This window comes from Homo sapiens, chromosome 5, assembly GCF_000001405.40.
Source record: "Homo sapiens chromosome 5, GRCh38.p14 Primary Assembly".
In the NCBI taxonomy this organism is placed as follows: domain Eukaryota; kingdom Metazoa; phylum Chordata; class Mammalia; order Primates; family Hominidae; genus Homo; species Homo sapiens.
This window is the reverse complement of record NC_000005.10, coordinates 53423400-53445269: the sequence shown is the minus strand read 5'-3', so window position 1 is coordinate 53445269 and position 21870 is coordinate 53423400. Positions and strand designations below refer to the sequence as shown.

At 39.6% G+C, this 21870-nt stretch overlaps 1 annotated feature.

The window, feature by feature from the left end:
* Positions 18957-19251: an enhancer, noted in NCBI's record as "tiled region #5487; HepG2 Activating DNase unmatched - State 8:EnhW, and K562 Activating DNase matched - State 12:CtcfO". NCBI's record gives its function as "activates a minimal TATA promoter and a strong SV40 promoter by Sharpr-MPRA in HepG2 and K562 cells {active_cell/tissue: HepG2 | K562}" and the evidence as "EXISTENCE:reporter gene assay evidence [ECO:0000049][PMID:27701403]".

Below are 21870 nucleotides of genomic sequence, written 5' to 3'. Positions count from 1 at the left end.
CCACCCCTTTCATTTTCATTTTAGGGCAAGGAGAAAGATCTGACACAGGACTCAGTTGTCGTTTCATTCCCTGGCTAGGGATAAATGACAACAACTGTGATGTCTTTTTCATTCTACTCTCCATAGACCTTGGAGATTGTTGTGGAATACTCAGATACAAAGTAAAAGGAACAAGTTACCTGACCATTCTAATAATCTTTTGCTTGATAATTAAAGGGACTGTCATATCATATACTTTATGTCATAATTATGCATACAGTTAATATAAAGTATATATGAATATACATATATAAATACTAAAGATGTAAGGAAATAAGTACAAACAGTTGATTTTTGTCATGTTTTAGTGATAATTTTAGTATATCCCTGTATTTTCATTAACTTAAAACTACTAGACAAAAAAAAAAGGAATAATGTATTCCACAGTTATTTTCCACCATCTTCAATAAACTGAATTATCTATTGAATTCCCTATGGCTGAATCATATGGTATTGTTGTTTCCATAGGTAAAAAAATAACTGAATATTAGCAATGTCATATGTTTCAACCTAATAAATTGAAGTTCAGTCACCAATCATGTGCTTCCCTTTGCTGGTTCAAGCTGAAAATATTTGCAGCAGGAATCTTTTCTCCATATACTTCCATTGGAGGGGCTCAGCTTGCCCCCACTAATCTAACACGTGTTCTTGTTTCCCCTTCAGAGGGCTCATTTTCTTCTGCCTCCATATTTTTTTTCCTGTCTTTTAGTTTCATCCTTGATGTTTTCACTTTTGTTTTTCTCCTCTGAACCCAGGCCTGCTGTCCCCCTTCTAAGTATTTCTGCAATCTACAACTCCAGAATTCTTGCAGCAAATTACATTCCACAGTACTTCTCCCTAGTTAGTTGGTCACTCAGTTAATAACATTTACTGACAGAATGTAGCACATTATGATAATAGAAATTATAGGAAAAATGAAAAGAAAAAGTCTCTGCTACTTTTAAGGAATTTATAATCTAGTGGATAAAATTAAAACTGCACTTATGGAAATGACTGAAGAAAACAAATAAGACAATATTTTAACCCACATGGCAAGCTGGAAAACAAGAATTAGGTGATTTGGGGTTGGGCGCAGTGGCTCCTGCCTGTAATCCCAGCACTTTGGGAGGCTGAGGCAGGAGGATAGCTTGTGCCTGGAAGTTTGAGACCAGCTGGGGCACATAGTTAGACCTCATCTCTACAAAAAATATTTTAAAAAATTATTCAGACATGGTGGCACGCTAGTCCCAGCTACTTCGGAGGTGGAGGTGGGAGAATTGCTTGAACCCAGGAGGTGGAGGCTGCAGTGAGTCATGATCGCACCACTGCCTCCAGCCTGGGTATAGAATTCATCTTGGTTGACAATGCAAGTGATTTTTCAACTGACACTCCACTGGTAGTTGGGCATCCCAAGCTCATTGCCCCACAGCCATCTCTGATATCACAGATTTAACATTGAACTTGGGCTGGGTGTGGTGCCTCATGCCTTTAATCCCAGCAATTTGGGAGGCCGAGGCGGGCGGGTCACCTGAGGTCGGGAGTTCAAAACCAATCTGACCAACGTGGAGAAACCCCGTCTCTACTAAAAATACAAAATTAGCTGGGCATGGTGGTGCATGCCTGTAATCCCAGCTACTTGGGAGACTGAGGCAGGAGAATTGCTTGAACCCAGGAGGTGGAGGTTGCGGTGAGCCGAGATAGTGCCATTGCACTCCAGCCTGGGCAACAAGAGGGAAATTCCATCTCAAAAACAAAACAAAACAAAAACAAAAAAAAATTGCACACAAAAAACATTGAACTCGCTTTCTTCTCCCAGCCAGAGGTTCTGACTGCATGCAGAATTGTTCCATGTAGGACAAAAGGAAAAATGTTTCTGCAGAGAGAAAGAGAGAAAGAGAGAGAAAGAGAGAGAAAGAAAGAGAGGGAAAGAGAGAAGAATACAGATAGAGAACAGGGGGGTGTGAAATATATACCCATGAAATTTTCTCCAAGTCTTTCTACAGGTGCTAAACTCAAAATATGTTTGGGTGTGAATAGATTTTTGCAGAAACCAGTGACCAGACTTGGCTTCCTTCCTGGATTGATGTGTTGCAGTGCAAGGCAGAAGCCCAAGGAAGCCACTCCTGAGCCCTGGCAGGAATCGCAGAATTCTGCCTTTCACAGTCCTACAGAATTTGCAGTTGTCCAAATTTAAACAGATTTCAAAATTCTCATTTGACACCTCTGTTTTATTTGGGGGTTCTGTCCAGTATCATTTGAATTAAGAGACTGTACTGAACCAGGAGTACAGCCTTACCATGACTTCCAAACTGTAGAGTGCATTGTGCAGGGATAGGAGGAGCTTGTGGAATCTGCTAAAACTCTTGCTAATTTTGGAAATTCCATTTGTATTAAGAGTAAATGTATGGAAACCATTTTGAGATAGATAATATAGCCTTTGGAGGAAAATGCATTGTTTAATATTGGCTACTTCAGAAAGAAGCTCGGAATATGCTGAATCATAAACAAGACATGTGGTAGCTTTGGACAATTTATGAGATGTAAGAACATACATAGGACATCCTGATTTGAAGTATGATTTTGTTAAGAGAGAGGAAAGACATTTTGTGGCAAACTCCTACTGGCAGGAAAGCCCCTTACTTTTCCAGAAATGAATGTCAGGAAATGGAAGAAAAACCAGAGAGGTAAACTACTCCATCTCCATGAGCTAAGATGCTCACATAAACACCTAATCCTCTCTTGTATGTGGATGAGGCCCCAGGGAGAGGAGCTGCAAAGGGCAGGGTGCCCACTTAACAATATCCTTCCACTGGGTGGACTCAAAGATCCAGGGAGGCCTCTAACTCTGAGGGTGAAGAAAATGTGGCACAAGGTTTGGGTTGGGAGTTCATCCATTCTTGGGGCTCCCTTAAGCCCTACCACTGTCAACTCCATTAACAATAGTGGTATATTCACAGGATTCTCTTCCTCTAGGTTCTTTGGAGATCTCCATTGACAGAAAAGGCCTTTGTGGTTGAGCTGAGTGGAAGCAACCCATTAGGTAAATGAAGAGGCAAAGCTGGATGAGGATTCTAATAGGATCTTTAGAGACTGGCTTTCTCCAAGGTCTTAGGATAAAGATAGAAGGACATCAAGGCCGTTGAGTGAGAAGGGTGGGTGTGAAAGGGAACTGAATGCTGAGTCGTCAATGTGCTGTATCTTCTCCTTTCCTTTCCCTTGGAGGGAGAACTTGGTAAAAGCTGTGAAAGACTGATAATATTCCCCTTCTCTCCTTCACTTAGGGGAAGGTTTAAAAAAAAACACTTGATTGCAATATGATTGACATATGAAAAGCTGTATGTATTTAACATATATAGCTTGATGAGTCTGGGATAAGTTTAGGCCTGTGAAACCAACACCATCATCAAGGCCATAAATATATTCATTACCTTTCAAAGTTTCCCCCTGCCCCCTTTATTAGTATTATCATTAATTTGTTTGTGGTAAGAACACTTAATATAAGATCTATCCACTGGGCACGGTGGCTCACACTTGTAATCCCAGCACTTTGGGAGGCCGAGATGGGTGGATCAAGAGGTCAAGAGATCGAGACCATCCTGGCCAACATGATGAAACCCCCTCTCTACTAAAAATACAAAAATTAGCAGGTTGTGGTGGCACGCGCCTGTAGGCCCAGCTACTCGGGAGCCTGAGGCAGGAGAATCACTTGAACCCGGGAGGTGGACACTGCAGTGAGCCGAGATCATGCCACTGCACTCCAGGTTGGGCAACAGAGTGAAACTCCGTCTCAAAAGAAAGAAAAATATATAAGATCTATCCTTTCAGCAAAATTTAAGTATACAATAAGAGAATATCATTACCTGTAGGCACTTTGCTGTGTAGTAGATCTCTAGAACTTATTTATCTTACATAACTGAAATTTTGTACCTTTTAACTGTTACCTCCCCATTTCCCCCTCCCACCAGCTCTCAGCAACCACCACTCTACTCTCTCTTAACAAGATGGGGAAAATTGCATTCACCAGAATTCACTTAGACGGGCAAATGTCTTTGAGAAAGGGCTTGGAGTACAGAACGAGCTTTCAATATTATGAATAGAGGTCTTTAAAAAAGTTAGATTCAAGGGGCACATGTGCAGATTTGTTATATGTTATATTTGTGTATTGTATAATGTTGAGGTTTGGGCTTATAATCATCCCCTTGCCCAAGTAGAACACAATACCTGATAGGGATAGAGCTCTTTTGAGCTAGACAAGCAAAGACCTTGCTCACTTCTTGGAGAGAAGGAAGGATAGATTGGTACTGGTGAATCCACCTGGATGACAGAAAGTCATGTGCTCTAAGATGCAATCTCTCTTCATGGCTGTCTAAATTTGTAATAAAGGTAATAAATTCAAGAAATGCTGGGGCATGAGTGGATTTTGGTGGAAGCCAATGAGGAGGTTTAAGTTGGAATTACAGGAGCACATGGATAGGAGAGTATGGGGTCAGATAGAAGGATGAGAAACTTGAACGTCCCCAGAGTGTTCTGCATCCTTACAGTCTGTATAATTGGCAGCTAATTATACATATGTATGATATGATGTGTGTGTTCATGTGTGTGTGTGTGAGTGTGTGTGTGTGTGTGTATGTGTGTGTGTCACCTAGCTGAGTGAAAGAAAGGAGTCATATCTTTCTGGGAACCTTCCTGGCCCCAGGACTGTATGTTTCCATGGCAGCACTTTACACACTGTATTATAATTACAACCCTTTCCACTCCTTTTTTTTTCTTCTGGACACAGACGTTTCCAATCCACTGAACTATCACTGTTCCCTCACTCAAAGGCTCCCTTGTCTTTCTGTTTCCATAGGAAGTCCATGCAGATGAGGCAAAATCCTTTCAAATAATTCTGACCTTGTCCCCATCAGATGGATCTAATAAGACCAAAATAAAAAGGAAGGGTGTGGGGGAATCCTCTTTGAGTCCCACATGACTGCCATCCTCATTCCTGCCTTTACATCTTTGTTTATCATAGCCTCTTGTCCAAATGTCTTCCTTCCACCTAAATCTTACCCATTTTTCAAGGCCTAGCTACAGGCACACCTTCTCCTAAGCTTTTCTGTGGTGCTTCTAGTCCTTGTTGATCTCCTCTCTAGCAAATATCTTGTCTCTCCAAGTCCATTGCCTCATGAGGATGAGACAAGTTTTATACTTCTGAAACTCCCGTGGTGTGTAACCCACAGTGAGCATTTAATTTAAGTGCATTTATTGCACAAGTAAGTGTGGTCTACTGACTAAAAATGTAAGCCCCTAGAGGGCATGGTCTAGGACTTGCAGGTGTTTCTTACAAGCCTTCACAGATTTTAGTGTGTTAGACTATATTGAACAATGAGAACGATGAGAGTACTAGAAACTTCCTTAAAGACTCAAGGGGGTGCATGCTGGCTCTGATACTTTATGATGGATGTGTAACAGCAATAAGCTGTTCTGTAGGTGTCCTCTCAGTGGCCAGGCCAAGAGAACAATTATTACAATTATCACCTACTGAGATTTCAACCAATTTCCTTGTGCAATTGTTTCTATAAGGCTTCTTAAAGGACCCAACATCCTGACTCTGAATTTATCCTGGATTGACTAATGTATTATTATTAGTAGAAAAGACACAAGGGCAAAGTGTAAGTAGAAAATCAGCAGCCATTGGTCCATAGTAAGACTGGAAAAATGGAAGTAAGCCAGAGTCTCTTTTCTCACTCAAAGAGCTCATACCTTTCTTAAAGTCTTGTGTTATTAATAATAATAATAAAAAACTTTGTCAGCTACTTGGATGCAGACAACATTCCAAAACCAACAGAAATGGTTTTGAGGAGCCAAGTCTTAGGGTTTGTATAATTGCTAAACACTGTGCTTCTCAACTTTCATAAGACAAACCCATCTTCAAAATTTATTTATGAGATGAATAATTGAGCCTGAAAATTTGAGTCTGACATTTCCTGTCCCTATTGTGGACCTCTGCAGAGTTGTCTTAATCACGTTTTCAGTAGTGTCCAAGAATGACATTGTTCTGACCCTTTTAAAGCAGAAACCACAGACTTTTTTTTAGCATAAGCGATTGCCTCAATTTGGTAACCATTTCCTTTGGGGCATGCAATTGTTTCTTTTTTACTGGTGGAATATGTCCTGCAGAAATGGAGGAATCACATCCTTTGCCCAGCTTTCCCCTACTCTGTCAATGCAATGGAAGATTTGACTTCATAAAAAGCCATTATGTGTCATAGAAAAAGGATATTCTTTTTCATCCCTGTAAAAGTTATCTTGCCCAGGGAGTCACATAGAGAAGGGTTGGGTGAGGCAGGAATGAACTGACTCATTGATATATCTCCGGTGAACTCTCTGGATTGCTTTAGAGGGATGAAATTAAGCAGTTGAATGATTGTCTAAATTCCGAGGCAGGGAACTGGCTTAAGAACAACAAACACAATTTGGGCCTGCATAAAATAGAGGGCTTTTTAGGGGATCAGAAGAAACCTGTTTTGCACAGGTGTTACTCTAATTGTGATCCAGAGCTATGGAGAATTTCACAGTGTGCTGTGGTTCCTGCACTGAGACCACAGCTGTTATAATTCATGCTCCTTACCCCGTGTGGTGGTCTTGCATTATTACATAGGTCCATAATAGGATGCACAAAGAAAAATAAAACAAGATATCAAGGCTCATGCTTTGTTTGAGTGAGTGGGGGTAGCTTTCCTCCCGTATGTAGGTTTTGATCTGTTTAACAGGCCTTTGGAGAGCCAAATGTACAAAATGAAAACTTCTCCCAGTATTTAGAGTCACTTTTTTCAGTGGTTACCACGTAAAGATTGCACATACTTTGAAGTTAATGTGGAAGGCAAAATTAAAGAAAACAAAAACAAAACTTTGATGTTCCGGAGACCAACATCCAGGTCAATAGGATAAAAGCTTCTGGCCGAGCGCGGTGGCTCATGCCTGTAATCCCGGCACTTTGGGACGCCGGCGGATTGCTTGAGCCCAGGAGTTTGAGACCAGCCTGGGCAACATGGTAAAACCCCGTTTCTACAGAAAAGACAAAAAAAATTAGCCCGGCGTGATGGCATGTGCCTGTAGTAGCAGCTACTTAGGAGGCTGAGGTGGGAGGATCACCTGAACCCGGGCAGTCTAGGCTGCAGTGAGTGGTGATTGTGCCGCTGTACTCTAACCCAAGGGACAGAAGAAGACCCTGTCTCAAAAAAAAAAAAAAAAAAAAGAAAAGAAAATTTCTGAAAATTGGGATTTTTGCTATTATCTCTCTTAAAAGTTGGCTTGGTCCTGAATGTTAAAAAGTCTTTGAGATACAAATTATTATCTGCTACATTTGATTCTGGGGGTAAGAATAGAAAATATCCATTCCTTTTCATTAGTAGATTTACATGGTGATCTGCTTTTAAACTGGTGGTTGAGTTTCGTTGGGGATTGTAATTCTGCACAGGGTCAGCAGAAGGTTGTGAAACATGGGACGCAGTAAGGTCAATCAGTTTTTAAGGTTGTGTGTCTTGTTTGTCACGCTTCCTGGGATGAGGAAACAAGGTACTTAATATCTGTGAAATTAACATTTAAAAAAATCAACAATAAATAGCTTTTCCTTGGTTACTCAGAACTCGTTATTGAACTGTCAGTGGGATTGCTGGGATTGCTTTTTAATTTTGAAAATCTTGTCACTCTATCCTAGGTGACTATCTCCAGTTGAAAACTCTTGGTGTTGGATGTTCTTACCTCCCCAACTTTCTACAGAGCTTTTTCTTTCTCACTGAACTCTATATAAATTGCTTTACAGTCACTTTCACACATGGCTATATTTCAGTGCTTCTTCCTTCCTGTTCCCATAGCACCTTATATATTATATTGGCAAAGGGATTATAAATACTTCAAATAATAGGAACTATTGTACTCTTATCTCTGTATCTCTATTAATCTAAATTTATTCATTAGCTCAAAGATTATTCTCCATCTCTTACTTTTTTTCACAAGCCTTTGTTTCTTTTCTTAATAGGCCCTCTTTTTATCATCCCACTTAGAGACAGTCTTTTTATATAACTTTAATGTGGTAATCTTCAAATTAAGCTACACATTGGAATCACATAGAGAGCTTTAAGAAGATACTAACATTTGGGTCCCATCTCTAGGAATTCTGATTTAATTGGTCTAGAGTGTTGCCTGGACATTAAGTTTTATTCCCCTCCAGAGCTCCCTGGGTGGTTCTGATGTCCAGCCAAGATAAAGGGCCACTGCTCTGATGACCTATTGATACTAATCATGAGTTTACTTGGCTTTGTGCTCTCTGCCAGTGTGTAGCATTTTAACCTTTGCAATGATTTTTACTTAAAATAATAAAACTAATGATTACCGAGCACTTCATTTAAGAAACACTTAACAATTTATTTTCCCTTCACAAAAATAGTATGAGATAAGAGATAGTGTTGTTCCCATTTTACAGATGAAGAAACTAGAGCATGAGGAAGGTAAGTAAATTGCCTCAAGTCACAGAGCTGGTAAATAAATGGCAGAGCTGAGATTTCTACCCAGGAAGGTTGGCTCCAGAGTCCACCTTTGCAGTCATGACATTATGCTGTTGTCTGTCATGCCTTCTTGGGACAATGACTTCTGATTAATGGGGATTTCCAATTACAGAGAAAATTTGCTAACTAGTCACGTAGCATTTCTGTCATTGCTTTTATCTATATGGGTTTGCACTGAGTAGTATGAGGAAGAAGAAATTCCTACTACAGAGAGGAGACAGACCAAAATATACAAGAAAATATGTCACAGAGGCATAGAAACACTTAATCTAGTGTTTTCAACAGTGGCATTATTGACATTGTTGGTCAGACAATTTTTTGTTGAAGGGAAGGAGGAGCTGTCTTCGTCATTATAGGATGTTGAGCCTCTACATTCTACTCTGTTGATGCCAGTAGCACCCTTCTCCCAAGTTGTTACAATCAAAAATGTTTCCAGACATTGCCAAATGTCCCCTCATTGAGAACTACCACTCTAATCAAACAGACTTTGAGTTAGTAACAGTAATTAAACTATTAAGATATTGTGTTGGATAGTGACAACTTTTTACAATGAAAATGTGTCATAATTTGTTTATTCAAATGAGCGTTTCCACCCAAGTAATTGGCTTGGAAGCCTGCACACTTATTCCAATAACATTGCTGTTGCTCAAAATATTTTTGAAGTTTTGTTCAGATCATGTGGTACAATTTCTTCATATTACCCAGAATAATAAATCATCCTTTAATGGTGGGCTTAATATTTAGAAAGTTCTAATAGATATTTAGAGCCAAGGATGATGAGCAAGGTGTGTTGATAAAAATGAATTGTAGAGTTTTATTTTTTCAACTTTAACAACGTGGTCCTTCACGTATGGCTCATAAACTATCTTTGACATCAGTTAAACAAGAAGAGTTCAAACTGATGTTCTGATTTGTAATATCCTTTGTAGAAGTCCTTCCAGAATTTTTTCTCTGAGGCCTAATGATATGAACACTGTGGAAGTGCTCTTCTGGCCAATAATACCTCCCCTGTCTTCAGTGTTCTCTAGGAAGGCTGGTTATTTTTGTTCAAAAATAAATTTTGAGTTTTAAGCATCACATATCATGCATGGACTAAGAATTTGCTTGGGTGAGCAAGTCCCAGTACCAGAGGAAAGTGGGAAGATTCTTAAAGGGAGCTAGTTTTGAAAGAGGAAAAAGCCATAGACTGGCTGAGAGAAGCTGGGGAAGTAATCCAGGTAGGGGCAGTAATTTGGGCAAACCTTTGGAAGTAGGAGGGAGTTAGTCATGAGCTCGGGATGGTAAGCAGGTCCACTTAACTGCATTGAGAGTCTAGGACTGTAGGTCTTAATCCTGGCCATGTATCAGCATCATCTGAGAAGCTTTTTGTTTGTTTGTTTGTTTGTTTTTGTTTTTTGTTTTTTTTTTTAAAGATAGCTGCTTGTGCCAGGCATGGTGGCTCGTGCCTGTAATCTTAGCACTTTGGGAAGCTGAGGCCCGCAGATCACCTGAGGTCAGGAGTTCAAGATCAGCCTGGCCAACATGGTGAAACCCCGTCTTTACTAAAAATACAAAAATTAGCTGGGCACGGTGGCATGCGCCTGTAGTCCCAGCTACTCGGGAGGCTGAGGCAGAAGAATTGCTTGAACTCAGAAGGTGGAGGTTGCAGTGAGCTGAGATCATGCCACTACACTCCAGCCTGGGTGACAGAGTGAGACTCTTTCTCCAAAATAAATAAATAAATAAATAAATAAAGCTGCTTGAGTCTCACACTGGACCTATTAAATCAGACTCTCTGCAGATGGGCCTTGAGCCTTTGTGTTTTGTTTTGAAAATCTTCACAAGACATCTTGATGCCTAGGCATGTTTGAAAATCAACTTAGTGAGATATAAATTTTGTTGAGTAAAGAAAAGGGAGCCTGCAATCCATGTTTTGCATGACTCACAAAGCAAAAGAGGGCCAGATCAGGCTTTTGAGCAGGGAAGAGATAACCTCATGCAGTTTTGTAGATACCAAGATGATAAGACTGATTTAATATCAGAGAACCCAAAATCAGGTTAAATAACGTGTCCAAGTTCATGTAGCCAGTAAGCAGAAAGCTATGGCATAATTCCAAGTCTTTTGATTTCACTTCAGTGTTTGTACCATGGAGGCAGACCAGAGGAAAAGAAAAAAAAAAGATTTGATGGTAAGTAGGAGAAGGAGAGAGGTTAGAATACTATGAAAGATATCTCTAAATTGAGAGTCGTGGATAACAGGAGGGAAGAAAACTGAAAATTGAACACCTATCATGTGCCAGGGTATATCTCATTTAATCTTCCCAAGACCACAACAGGGTAATAGTGGCCCATATAAGGATGCTGAGGGTCAAGGTGGTTAATAGTTTGCCCAAGGCCACACAGACAGGAAGTGAAATTCGGACCTACACCTAGGTCTGCTGGCTCCAGAGCTCATGCTCTTCACTATTCTACTTGGTCCCTCATCGGAGAGCAGTGCTTCTTATCAAGGGCAATTTTGCCCCCAGGGACATTTGGCAATGTATGGAGACATTTTGGGTTGTCACAGTTTTGGGGAAGTTGGGGGCTGCTACTGGCATCTGGTGGGAGGGCCAGATATGCTGCTCAACCATGTGCACAGCAGCCACAAAGAATTATCCAGCTCAAAATGGCAGCACTGTTGAGGCTGAGAAACTCCAGCCCAGAAGGATGGTTGTAGCTCAGAAAGTTGGAAATGAAGGACATGTTGATGAGCAAGTTGATGAAAGGATTTCAAACATTCGTGTATTAGGTATTCAATTAAATCTAGCTGTGTCTCCTCTCTTTCTGCCTGAGTGTTACATGAGGCTGAGATGTTGCCCTATATGTTATAATCTAGTTACTGACTTTCTCATGCCTAACTGACTGCATCTTTACAAGAGCCCTCCTTCAAGACCCCAGATGGGTTTACTGCAAGAACGGCTCTTGTGCCAGTTTCTAACCACCTGTTAAGGTGAGGAAGCTTTAGTTCCCCCATTTCTTTCTCTTTTTTCTTTCGGTTTTATTATTATTTTTCTTTTTTTTTTTTATGACCCATTGAGTTCTTGGCAGATCTGTTAGACATTTTCTCCAAGTTTCTCTTTTGAGCCTTTTATCTGAGGGAGGTGGATCTTTGTTTACCCAGACCTGAGTAGAAATTACCAAGACCAGAGGCCACAATGAGGCAGCCATTTTTAGTCACTTTCCACCTGGGCTGAATTTGAGCCAGAAGATAAGAGACAAAATATATCCCATTATCAGCCCCCTAAGCCATCTACTCCCCCTGATTACTCCCACAGATATTCTTGTTTCAATGCCAGTAAGCCCAAATACTCTGTTTGTGGTGGCTTGGAGCCAAAATCCAGGTGTGATATTCCAAAGCATTCTTGTAGAGGAATTTTCAGCTGGTATTTTGTTTACCTGCATTTTTGGCCCATCTCAATCCCTTAGGAGCCAAAAGCTCACAGAACTGTAACATTTCTAACTCTTACCATACCTGTCTATAAAATATGCATGAATACAGACTTTACACAATGGATCTGTGGCCTTTGGTGACCTCTTCATTGCCTTTAACTTTCTTCACGAAATTCCAAGAGACTGTGGAAACACCTCCTATCTTGCTACTGCTCATTAGGAATCTAATACCCTCTCACAAAATGCTCTAGGGTTCTTGGCAAGGAAAAAGAAAGGCTGTAAAATCAAGATATGTTGTTCTTAGGATTACTTTATATATATATTTTTTGAACGCTCAGCTTAAGGCAAACCTGGAAGAAAAGCATAATAATTATACTAGTCATAAATGAATATTACCACCTTATCCATTCTAGAAGAAGATTTAAAAATAATCTAGGTTTGGATTTTGATGTGTTTGGTGTTGGGATCAGTCTTCCCCAATACCTTCCTCTTTACGAAAAGAAGCCATTGTGTTGTTCCTCTCACTTTGGGGCTAGGAGGTATCTGTTCTGGCTCACTCTGTGACTTTCTCCTTTGCTCACCTTGCAAATGTTCTAGGCCTTATCTCTGATGTCTGCCTTGGCCTCTGGGAATGCTGCACAGCACTGGCCATGGGTCAGTAGAGAGAGACTTATGGCAGAAGGCTTGCAGGCAACTTTTTCTCCTACTACCTTTATTGTTTTTCAATCTTGTTTCTGCATCTGTAAAATGCAGATAATGCTACCTGGCTTCTTTGCCCCATACATGAATCAGGAGGACTTTGTCTTATTCATTGTATCTAGAGCAATTCTTGGTGCCTAGGAGCCACATAATAAATATATGCTGAATGAATGAATAAACATCATGTAAAAGTCTCCAATTCTAAATGAATTTAAGGTACTTCTTTTTTGGAGAGTGCATTGCATTTTAAACTAGTCTGTTTTTAGTACATATAGATAAAATAAAAATTTTCAATGATATTTCTGCCCTGGCTTGCTTCCGGCCCTGGGCCATGCAACAATTGGAAAAACACAAGGAATGAGATTATCATAGATTTTTCCATGTAAGTAGTGAGGGGCCCTTCAGAGCATGCAGTATTTTTCCCTTGGCATGGTTTTAGTAGAAAATGCTTATTATTATTTATTATGTATTTCTTAAGGGAAAATGGTATAGAATCTTCATCTAGATTTTTCTGATTTTAAGATTTATATGAAGATGAGAACTAGATTAGGACTTAGGTTCTTACTGAGTCCACTGCACTTGTATTTCCTGCATATGTCAAAGCATGGATACCCGTGGCCTTGGCTTACAGCTCAGGAAGAGTGAAGAACGTACAGCCGATGCCTGCCTCCTGATTCATAAGCATGATGCACACACACACGTTATCAGGACAGTGGCAGCCCATTCAATGGCAAATCCTGGAAAAGTTAAACTTTAGTACTTGTGTATTTTGCTGATTCCCTGTTGCACTTCTGCTGAATCTTAGATAACTTGAGCCTGCATATGTTTTTGTTTAAATGACTCAGGGTAAGTTTCCTTCTTTGAACATCCCTATGATTAAAAATTCAGGCTGGGCACGGTGGCTCACGCCTGTATTCCCAGCACTTTGGGAGGTTGAGGTGGGTGTATCACCTGAGGTGAGGGGTTCCAGACAAGTCTGGCCAACATGGTGAAACCCTGTCTCTGCTAAAAATACAAAAATTAGGTGGGAGTGGTGGTGGGTGCCTGTAATCCCAGCTACTCAGAGGGCTGAGGCATGAAAATCGCTTGAACCTGGGAGGCGGAAGTTGCAGTGAGCCAAGATCGTGCCACTGAACTCCATCCTGGGTGACAGAGCAAGACTCCGTCTCAAGAGAAAAAAAAATAAAAAAAGAAATCGAATGTTATGATATCTTCTGCCATTGGTAATCTGCCTGATCCTTTAAATAAAAACCTCAGGGACACATGAGACTTAGAATTTTTAGAGTTGAGATTTGTTAAAAGATATTTTAGATTTTTTTAAAGAGGCAATGAGGTGCATTTACTATGTAACACTCTCATCTGGGCCTGGACCAGCAGACATAGTCAATAATTAGAAATTCAGGTCAGATTTTGCCACCAAATGAGTTCAAATCAAGTTAGGTTTTGCCACCAAGTGAGTTTAGAAAACAAACAAACAAGTTTTGGTTTTTAGAAACTTTCAGATGTTTGAATTTTGGAAAAGAGACTGCAGACAGGTATTTCAAAACCTCAGTTATTGATTCACTGTATTTTTAAAAGTTCCACTAATAGAGAAACTTAATTTTATTGACAGCCTTGTAGAGAGAGGTAAGCATCTTGCCTTGAGGTACTTTTTTTCTTCACAGAAAGCCTACGGGCGTTTCTGCTCACAGTCATGTGAAAATCAGCTTAATGTATTTCTTGTTGCAGGCTGTTAAAATGGCTTGAATTCCACTAGAGGGCAGTTGGGCCTTATCTCAGTGGACTTTATGGTTACCAGATCTGGTTCTGTCATAATTGGGTAATTTTTGTCACTGACCCCTGTTGGGGCCAAAAAAAAAAAAAAAACCTCCCCGTTGCCCTCTGGAGGCTCACTGAAAATCACCGGGAAAAGGCAGATTAATAGAAGAGAAGGCGTAAAAATTCATTTGATCATAGTTTTAAGTGACATGGGAGCCTTCAAAAGGAAGACTCAAAGATACAGGAGAAAACTGTCCATTTTTGTGTTTAGGTTCAACAAAGTACAGATAGTTGTGTAGAAATGCGATTGGACAAAACAGGTATGATCTAATGCTAACAGACTGAATGGTGAAGCCCAGTAAGGCTTGTTCATCTAGATTCTTCTTGACATCTCTGAGCATGCATTTCTTTCTTCTGTGTATGTGGCAGGGCTCTTTCTGGAATGGGGATCTTATGACCTACAGTCAAATAGGGTAAGTCAGATAATTTATCTATGGCCAGTTTTTACACAGGAAAGTGGGGGAAAACCTGGAGTGGTTTTTAGGTTTTATGGCTGGCTTTGGAGAAAAGGGGTTCTGGCTTCTATGACCTGCCTTGGGGAAGGGGGATTCTAGTTTCTGTGGCTAGCCTCCAAGGAAAATGAGGGGCCAGAGGCAGGAGGGAAGGAAAAAGTCAGAGAGAGCTGCTTCTAAGGCTTTCATGTTGGAGTATTGTTTTCTGAGCCCCATACACCACCACTCATTTCTGTTTCTACTCAGCAGCTGTCTGTCCCACTTGACATCACCTCACATACATCTAGAGGTCAGTGATTTCTGTGCTTACATTTCCAGCCTATGAGGCTGTTCTGAGCTCCTATTCAGAATCTCTAGTTAGCTGTTTGAAAGACCGTTTAGTCTATTGAGGATTGACCTCATGAGCGCCATTGCTTGCCCTCCACCGCATTTCTTGTCTTCCAGTGCTCCATGACTCAGCAAAAGTCAACACCATCCATTTGGTCATGCGAGCCTAGGAATGTAGGCTTCATCCTCGACATTCCCCTTTCCTGCATAATTCCTCATCAAATTCCCTCTACTTTACTTACCAAATATACCCCCATGGTCTGTCTACTTTCCTACATCTCTACCCCTAGCTACCACCTTCTTTTGCCTGGCTATTAGACACCTAACTGGTCTCCTAGCTCTACGCATGCCTCTCTGCCTTCTTCCAAATTTCTCTCTTATTCTCTCTTTCCCCTACTGCCAAGTCTCTAGACTTTTTGATTAATCTCAATTTTTATCTCCACATTTATATATCCCTATCCATTATGAAATATTGTTTTTTTTTAAAAGCATGTGAAAGACCAGTGCACTGAAAACTCAGTTTTCTAAGAGGGTAGTGGTTCATGATATATGTAAGTAGTCCTCACATTGTGTGAGTCCTACATGCATGAATTTAGGTTATTATGAGTTATTTACATAACACCATTTCCCTAATACCAGCCTTCCAACAATAAGTTTCAAATTTTGGATCAATTTCTTAGTAATTTTCTTAGGTATGACTTCCCCTTGGAGATCTGGACAAAAATAAAAAGTGAGCACATGTACATAGATAGCTGTAAGATGCAGAGGGGGTACTAGAAAAAAACACACATCTAATTGGCTGATGGTTTCCTCTGGGAGGGGAGTGGAAATAGGGGTATAAAGAGTTGTTTATCTTTTATTTTTATCTATTCAAACATCTGTACGGTTTGAATCTAAAACAAAAATGTAACCAGGCATTACTTATTAAAGAAAATAGGAAAGAAAGGAGTAAGAATGATAGATTATAAGTGATTTTTAAATCTTTTAACAAATGTCCTCCTGAATTGTTCCAATAATTATTTTTAAGATACTGGAAAGACTCAATCTCCCTAAATATCTCCTTTATATCAATTCCAACACCAGAAATTTGTCATTCATTCAGTGAATATTTTACTGAAGGTGTCTTGCAAACAAAACTCCATGCTAAAATTCCTTTCTTTCTGTCTTTCATAATTCCTTATTAAAATGCAGATACCTCCTCTTCATTCTCCGTGGCTAAGGTGTGAAAACCATCTTCAATAAACACCTTTAGAGATTCTGGCAACTAAGAAAAAAAGGGAGCCTGTTTGTGTTCCTCTATCCATCCATTTATGTAGCCATTATTGAGTATTTCCAGTCACTATGACAAGCTGAGTGAATCTGATGAGCAAGGCAAATTAAAATCTTCTAATTTACCAAACAAAAACAGTAGAAAGAAAAAAATTAAAAAAAGATAATTGCATTTCATAGCTTCATATATACACGCATTAACTTAAAAAAAAAACTGAGAAACGAGAAAAACCACTGAGAAGGCATGGGGCTGGGGGCCACTACACAAGGTAAGGCAGTCAGTGTAAACATCCTACTAAGACTCATAAAGAGAAGAATAACATTTAGCTCAAAATCATTTAAGTTGCTATAATGTCCCCTTCCTCTGTGTCCAACCTGAGTACTCTTTAATAAAGTCTACTTTGCACACATATACCCATATATGGCCCCTCTGGAAAAAAAAAAGAAAAGAAAACAAATGGGATTATGTCTTTGTTATTTGTTAACTTGCTCTTCTCCTTAATTAGATGTAGAAGATTTTCCAAAATGAGTAAAAAGTCTACCTCATTCTTTTTGATGTTGCCTCAGTGTTGCATCATATGGATGCACTATTATTTATTTACCATTTCTTTATTAATGGACATTTGCTTTCTCAATTTTTTTCAATAACAAACCATGCTTTATTGAATCTTCTACTTTTGTGCACATATTGAGTTTTTTTCCCATATGGATTCTTCAAAATGGAATTACTAGATCAAAGAGTATGCACATTTCAAGTTTGGATAGACAATGTCAAATTGAATCAATTTATACTATGAGTGTCCTTTCTACTTGTCAAGATGTAACATTTCAATAATTGTTTAAATTAAATGATGTCCGATAGATGAAAAATATTTTATTGTTTTGGTTTGCATTTCCCTGATATATAGTATAGGTGAAATTCTTTTTATGTGTTTAGTGGAGATTTATATATTTTTGGTCATATCTTTTGCTCAGTTTTATAAACTTTTTTTTTAATTGAGAAGAGCTCTGCAGAGTCATTTGTTTAATTTAATTAAAAAGCATTTATCATCCATTGACATTATGTAGGCATCACACTAGGTGTTGATGTCTCAAAGTTGTACAATATAGAGTCCCTGCCCTCCTAAGGGTGGGGTGGTTGGAGGGAATGCAGATTTGCAAAGAAAATAAAAGCAGTAAGATGTTCATACTGTCATGTTAGACAAACTGCCTACTTAAGAATATTGGATTGCTCAGTCATCTCAGAGGGAGAAAGATTGAAAATAGCATAAAAGTTCAACTCTCTGGTAGCAAACCCGCAATATATTGAAAGTTGCTTACTATGTTTTAGCTTAGTGTTTTATGCTTAAATATGCCTCTTAACATATTTAAGTCAGAAATTACTACTTATAGCAGTTCTGAAGGCCAAAGAACTAAGAACAGTCTTTCAGGTAATTATTTCAATATTGAATGTTTTTTTTTTTTTCCCACTATGTCTTTACTTGCAGTGATGCTGTCACTCAATTGGATCAGAGTTGTTTGACAGCTTCCATGACCTTTCACTACACACATGCAAGGAGCCATACTCAGACCTACACAGATAGAGCCACACAGACACAGCTGCACCAAGTGGCATTATGAGAAAGGACTAGACAGGATGCAACTGTGATGTTACTTAGGTGAGGAGGCCGCTCCAGCTGAAGAGGCTCACAATGAGATTTCTATCTGCCAGAGATTTGAGATCGCTATCTGCCAGTTATGTCAGGGAAGTAATTTAACACATCAGTGCTGCAGTTTAAGATGAACTATAGAGACTTGGGGGAATTAGTAGGATAGTAAGTGCTTGACTTATGTCCAGGAAAAGGGCAGATGTACATCTTGATGGTAAATTATAAAAGTCAACTTGTACAAAAGCCACTGATAATTAATTCTCTTCTTCAATTGGAAAGCAAGATGGGTGGATGAAACTTACTGAGAGTGATCTCCCCTTGGATTTAGGCTGGCAGAAGAGTAGGTAGGCTTATTTCTTTTAAAGCACAATCCCCTTGATACAGGCCAGAAAGGAGATACGGGGTGGGCAGGATTTATTGCTCAGGTCAGTACAGAGAAGCTCAACAGGCCTCCTTTCTGGCTCTGAAACGGTGCTAAGTAAGGGGCCCCAGGGCAGGGGGAGGGTGTCAGAAATATGATAAACCATGAAATATGATAGTACATGCAAAAGCTTGTAAATGGTGAGACAAAAGTCACAAGGAATTATTTTCGGTAAAAAATAGAAATCCTACCTATTGGCATCAAATTTCTGTTATAGAATGGGTTTATAAGCAGCCCTCTGGTTGGAAGAGGATTTCCCTGGAAGCTGTGTTTACACAGCGAACACTTTGTTTTTGTTTAGATCACATGTGGGCTGGGAAGAAAGGAACCCATGTAGATTATGGAGTACTACAACACCCCATGTACTTTCAAAGAGACCCCTGAAGCACCACCACTGAGCCTCACAAATATTTTGTCGAGATAAGCACTGAAAACAAAGATAAACTATGACCGCCATCTTGTGGTGGGATCCACCATTACCAAGTTGGATTGAGTGTGAGGTGGTGGTAGTGGGGGAGGGGCTGAGACACATTTTCTTTTTTCTTTCTTTTTTTTTTTTCACTTGAGGATTCTGGTAGGGACTATAAGGAGAAAACCTCTTGGATACAAAATTTGCCACCCGGCAGGAGAGCTATGTTAGAGGTCTTCCGTTAATTTGATTTAGGTTTCTATGGTGTGGAGAATCTGGAGTAGTTTTGAGAGAGTATTTGTCATTCCTTATCTCCCTGTTCCCAGATCCCTAGCTTGGGAAGGTATTTTTCTCACATTCTCCAGAGTTCAAAGAGCTTACCAAACAACAGAAACCCAAGATTTATTCTTCGATATTATTCCATTATATGCCACACCAGAGCACATTTGTTTTCACAACATTTAATTAGATTTCCCGGAAATGGAAAAGCCATTTGTTTTTTTATGGATTTACTATCAGTCTGAAACCTAAGAACCTTTCCAATATTTTAATACAAACCAGCCATACTGACTTAAATTAAAGGAATATGTTCAAAGTAGAAATAACACTGATAAAAGAGGCTTTTGATATGTCCCTGATAGCACCCAGCCTAACAGGATGACATTTTGGTGAAAGTAAGTAAGATGTAGTATCAAAGGGAAATTTTTCTTTCTTGAAATATTTAAAGCATCATTTGCTTTTCACTTGGCAGAACAATGACAACAGCAACAAAAGAAACCACGTGGCCGTTTTTCACTTTGCAAAGCATTCTTTACAGATGCCTGTCTAGTTGTTCTTGGATGGCTTCAGGGCACTGACACCGCATTCATCTTTGAAAGTTCTCCACCAGGTCCAAATGGCTGCTGTTGATCCCAGGAATGAGTGAACTACACCATGCCTTCCAACGGGTTCAGCGTTTTATTTGTCTGTAATGTGGTAGGCTTAGGAACATATCTGGCTGAAGACGCTTATCTTTCACTGTGTCAGAATCTTTCAGGGCTGCAGCATTCTATGTTTCTAATATCTAGGCAGGAGGACAATCAGATTATAAATTTGGCAGCAGTACCTAGAGTAATGCCTGGCACATGATAGCTGCTGAATGAATGCTCCAAGACCGAAGGATCTAGCTGTTATCTTGAAACCTAGCGATATACTGAAATTCTTGTACTAATGTCTACTTCAGCCCCCTCTCCTAACACATGACCTCAAACTTGGCTCTATTGTCATTTGAGGCTGGATAATTCTGTTACAGGGAGCTGTCTTATGCATTGTAGGATGTTTAGCAGCATTCCTGACCTCTACCCACTAGATGCCAGTAGGATGCTCTAGTTGTAAAAACCAAAAATGTCTTTAGATTTTGACAAATGTCCCCTGGGGGGCAGAAATATCCCCTGGTTGCAAATCACCATCCTAAACTGAGCGTAGTTATGTGGAAGAGATATGGCCTTAGGCATTAGTTGAGTCAGCAGTAGTAAATCATGAAATATGATATGAACACCATGGAAGTGCTCTTCTGACCAACAATACCTCCCCTGCCCTCAGTGTCTCTAGGAAGGATGACCATAAATGTTTTAACTGAGATAGTTTTGCAGAAAGTTGAGAGCAAATGATGAACAATCAATCAGCCAGGGAAATGGTTCCTTTTTGTCTTAAGAAAAAGAACAGTCACTTGGGAGTAATGCAGTCATTTGTAAAAAGCAGGTGTCCAAGAGATAGTGTGTGTAAAGAGGAAAAAATTGGATGGGAAATTAGCAGACTTGCACGCTAATCCTGGGTTGGCTACTGACCAGCTGTGTCCCATAGAGGAGCTCTCTTCACTCGGCTGATAATAAGGGGGCTGAACCAAGTGACCCATAAAGTTCTTTCTCCTGCTCAGGTGTGAAGAAAATCACAGATTTGTTTGTCTAATGAATAGCCCATTATTACGTATTTTTGCAGAGGAGGAGCCATGCTTTGACAGAGTACAAGGCTAGAATCAATGAGGGGTATGGGAAGATAAATTACAGGGTTTAGGGGATGCCGTAATCTAAGACGAAGGTAATGGAGTTTCTGTTGAAAGGAAATAAAGTATGATGAGTATGACACAAAAGCCATAATACATCTTTGCTGCTCTCTCACTCTCTTTCTGTGTGTGTAGGTTGGTGGTAAAGATGCTAGGTGGGCCACAGTTAGCAAGCTAGTCAGCTTCCTCATAGCTCCTCAGGGAGGAGGGTTTGCTCAGAACAGTCTCTCTTGCCAAATGTGAAAACCACGATCATAGGTTACTGTCAGCAATGGGCAATCTTGGAAGTGTATGGAACCTCTCATCAGAGCATTCAATTGATTCAACTGAATTCTCTTATTTTGCTGATACACATGTCAAAACAGTCCATAAATATTACATCTTGTAGAAACCAATGTCATGATTCATTGACTAAAAAAGTAAAATGACCTTGAAAGATTCTGATATTCAATAGCATAGAAGTCAGGGTAGGACAAATCTGGCTGAATTGTAAATGTTTGAAGAGTTTTTCAGCCATTTTGGGTTTGATAGAACAGCAAATTCATTTTATGAAGCAGTCTTACCCTCACTTTCTAAACATGATGTATGTTTGAAAGAAATTCATTCCATATGTTTTTGTTTAATTTTACTTAAATCATCAAAATATTATTTCTTGAGACTTGTTTGATGTCTAAGAAGTATTTAAGTCCTTTGAATAATTTTAAAAATATACATTTTTCCTCTTTAAAACAGGAAATCACTTATTAAAGAGTTTAAATGGGTTTGGACACAAATGAGATTCAGACTTGAAATCCTGACCCTGTAAGATTA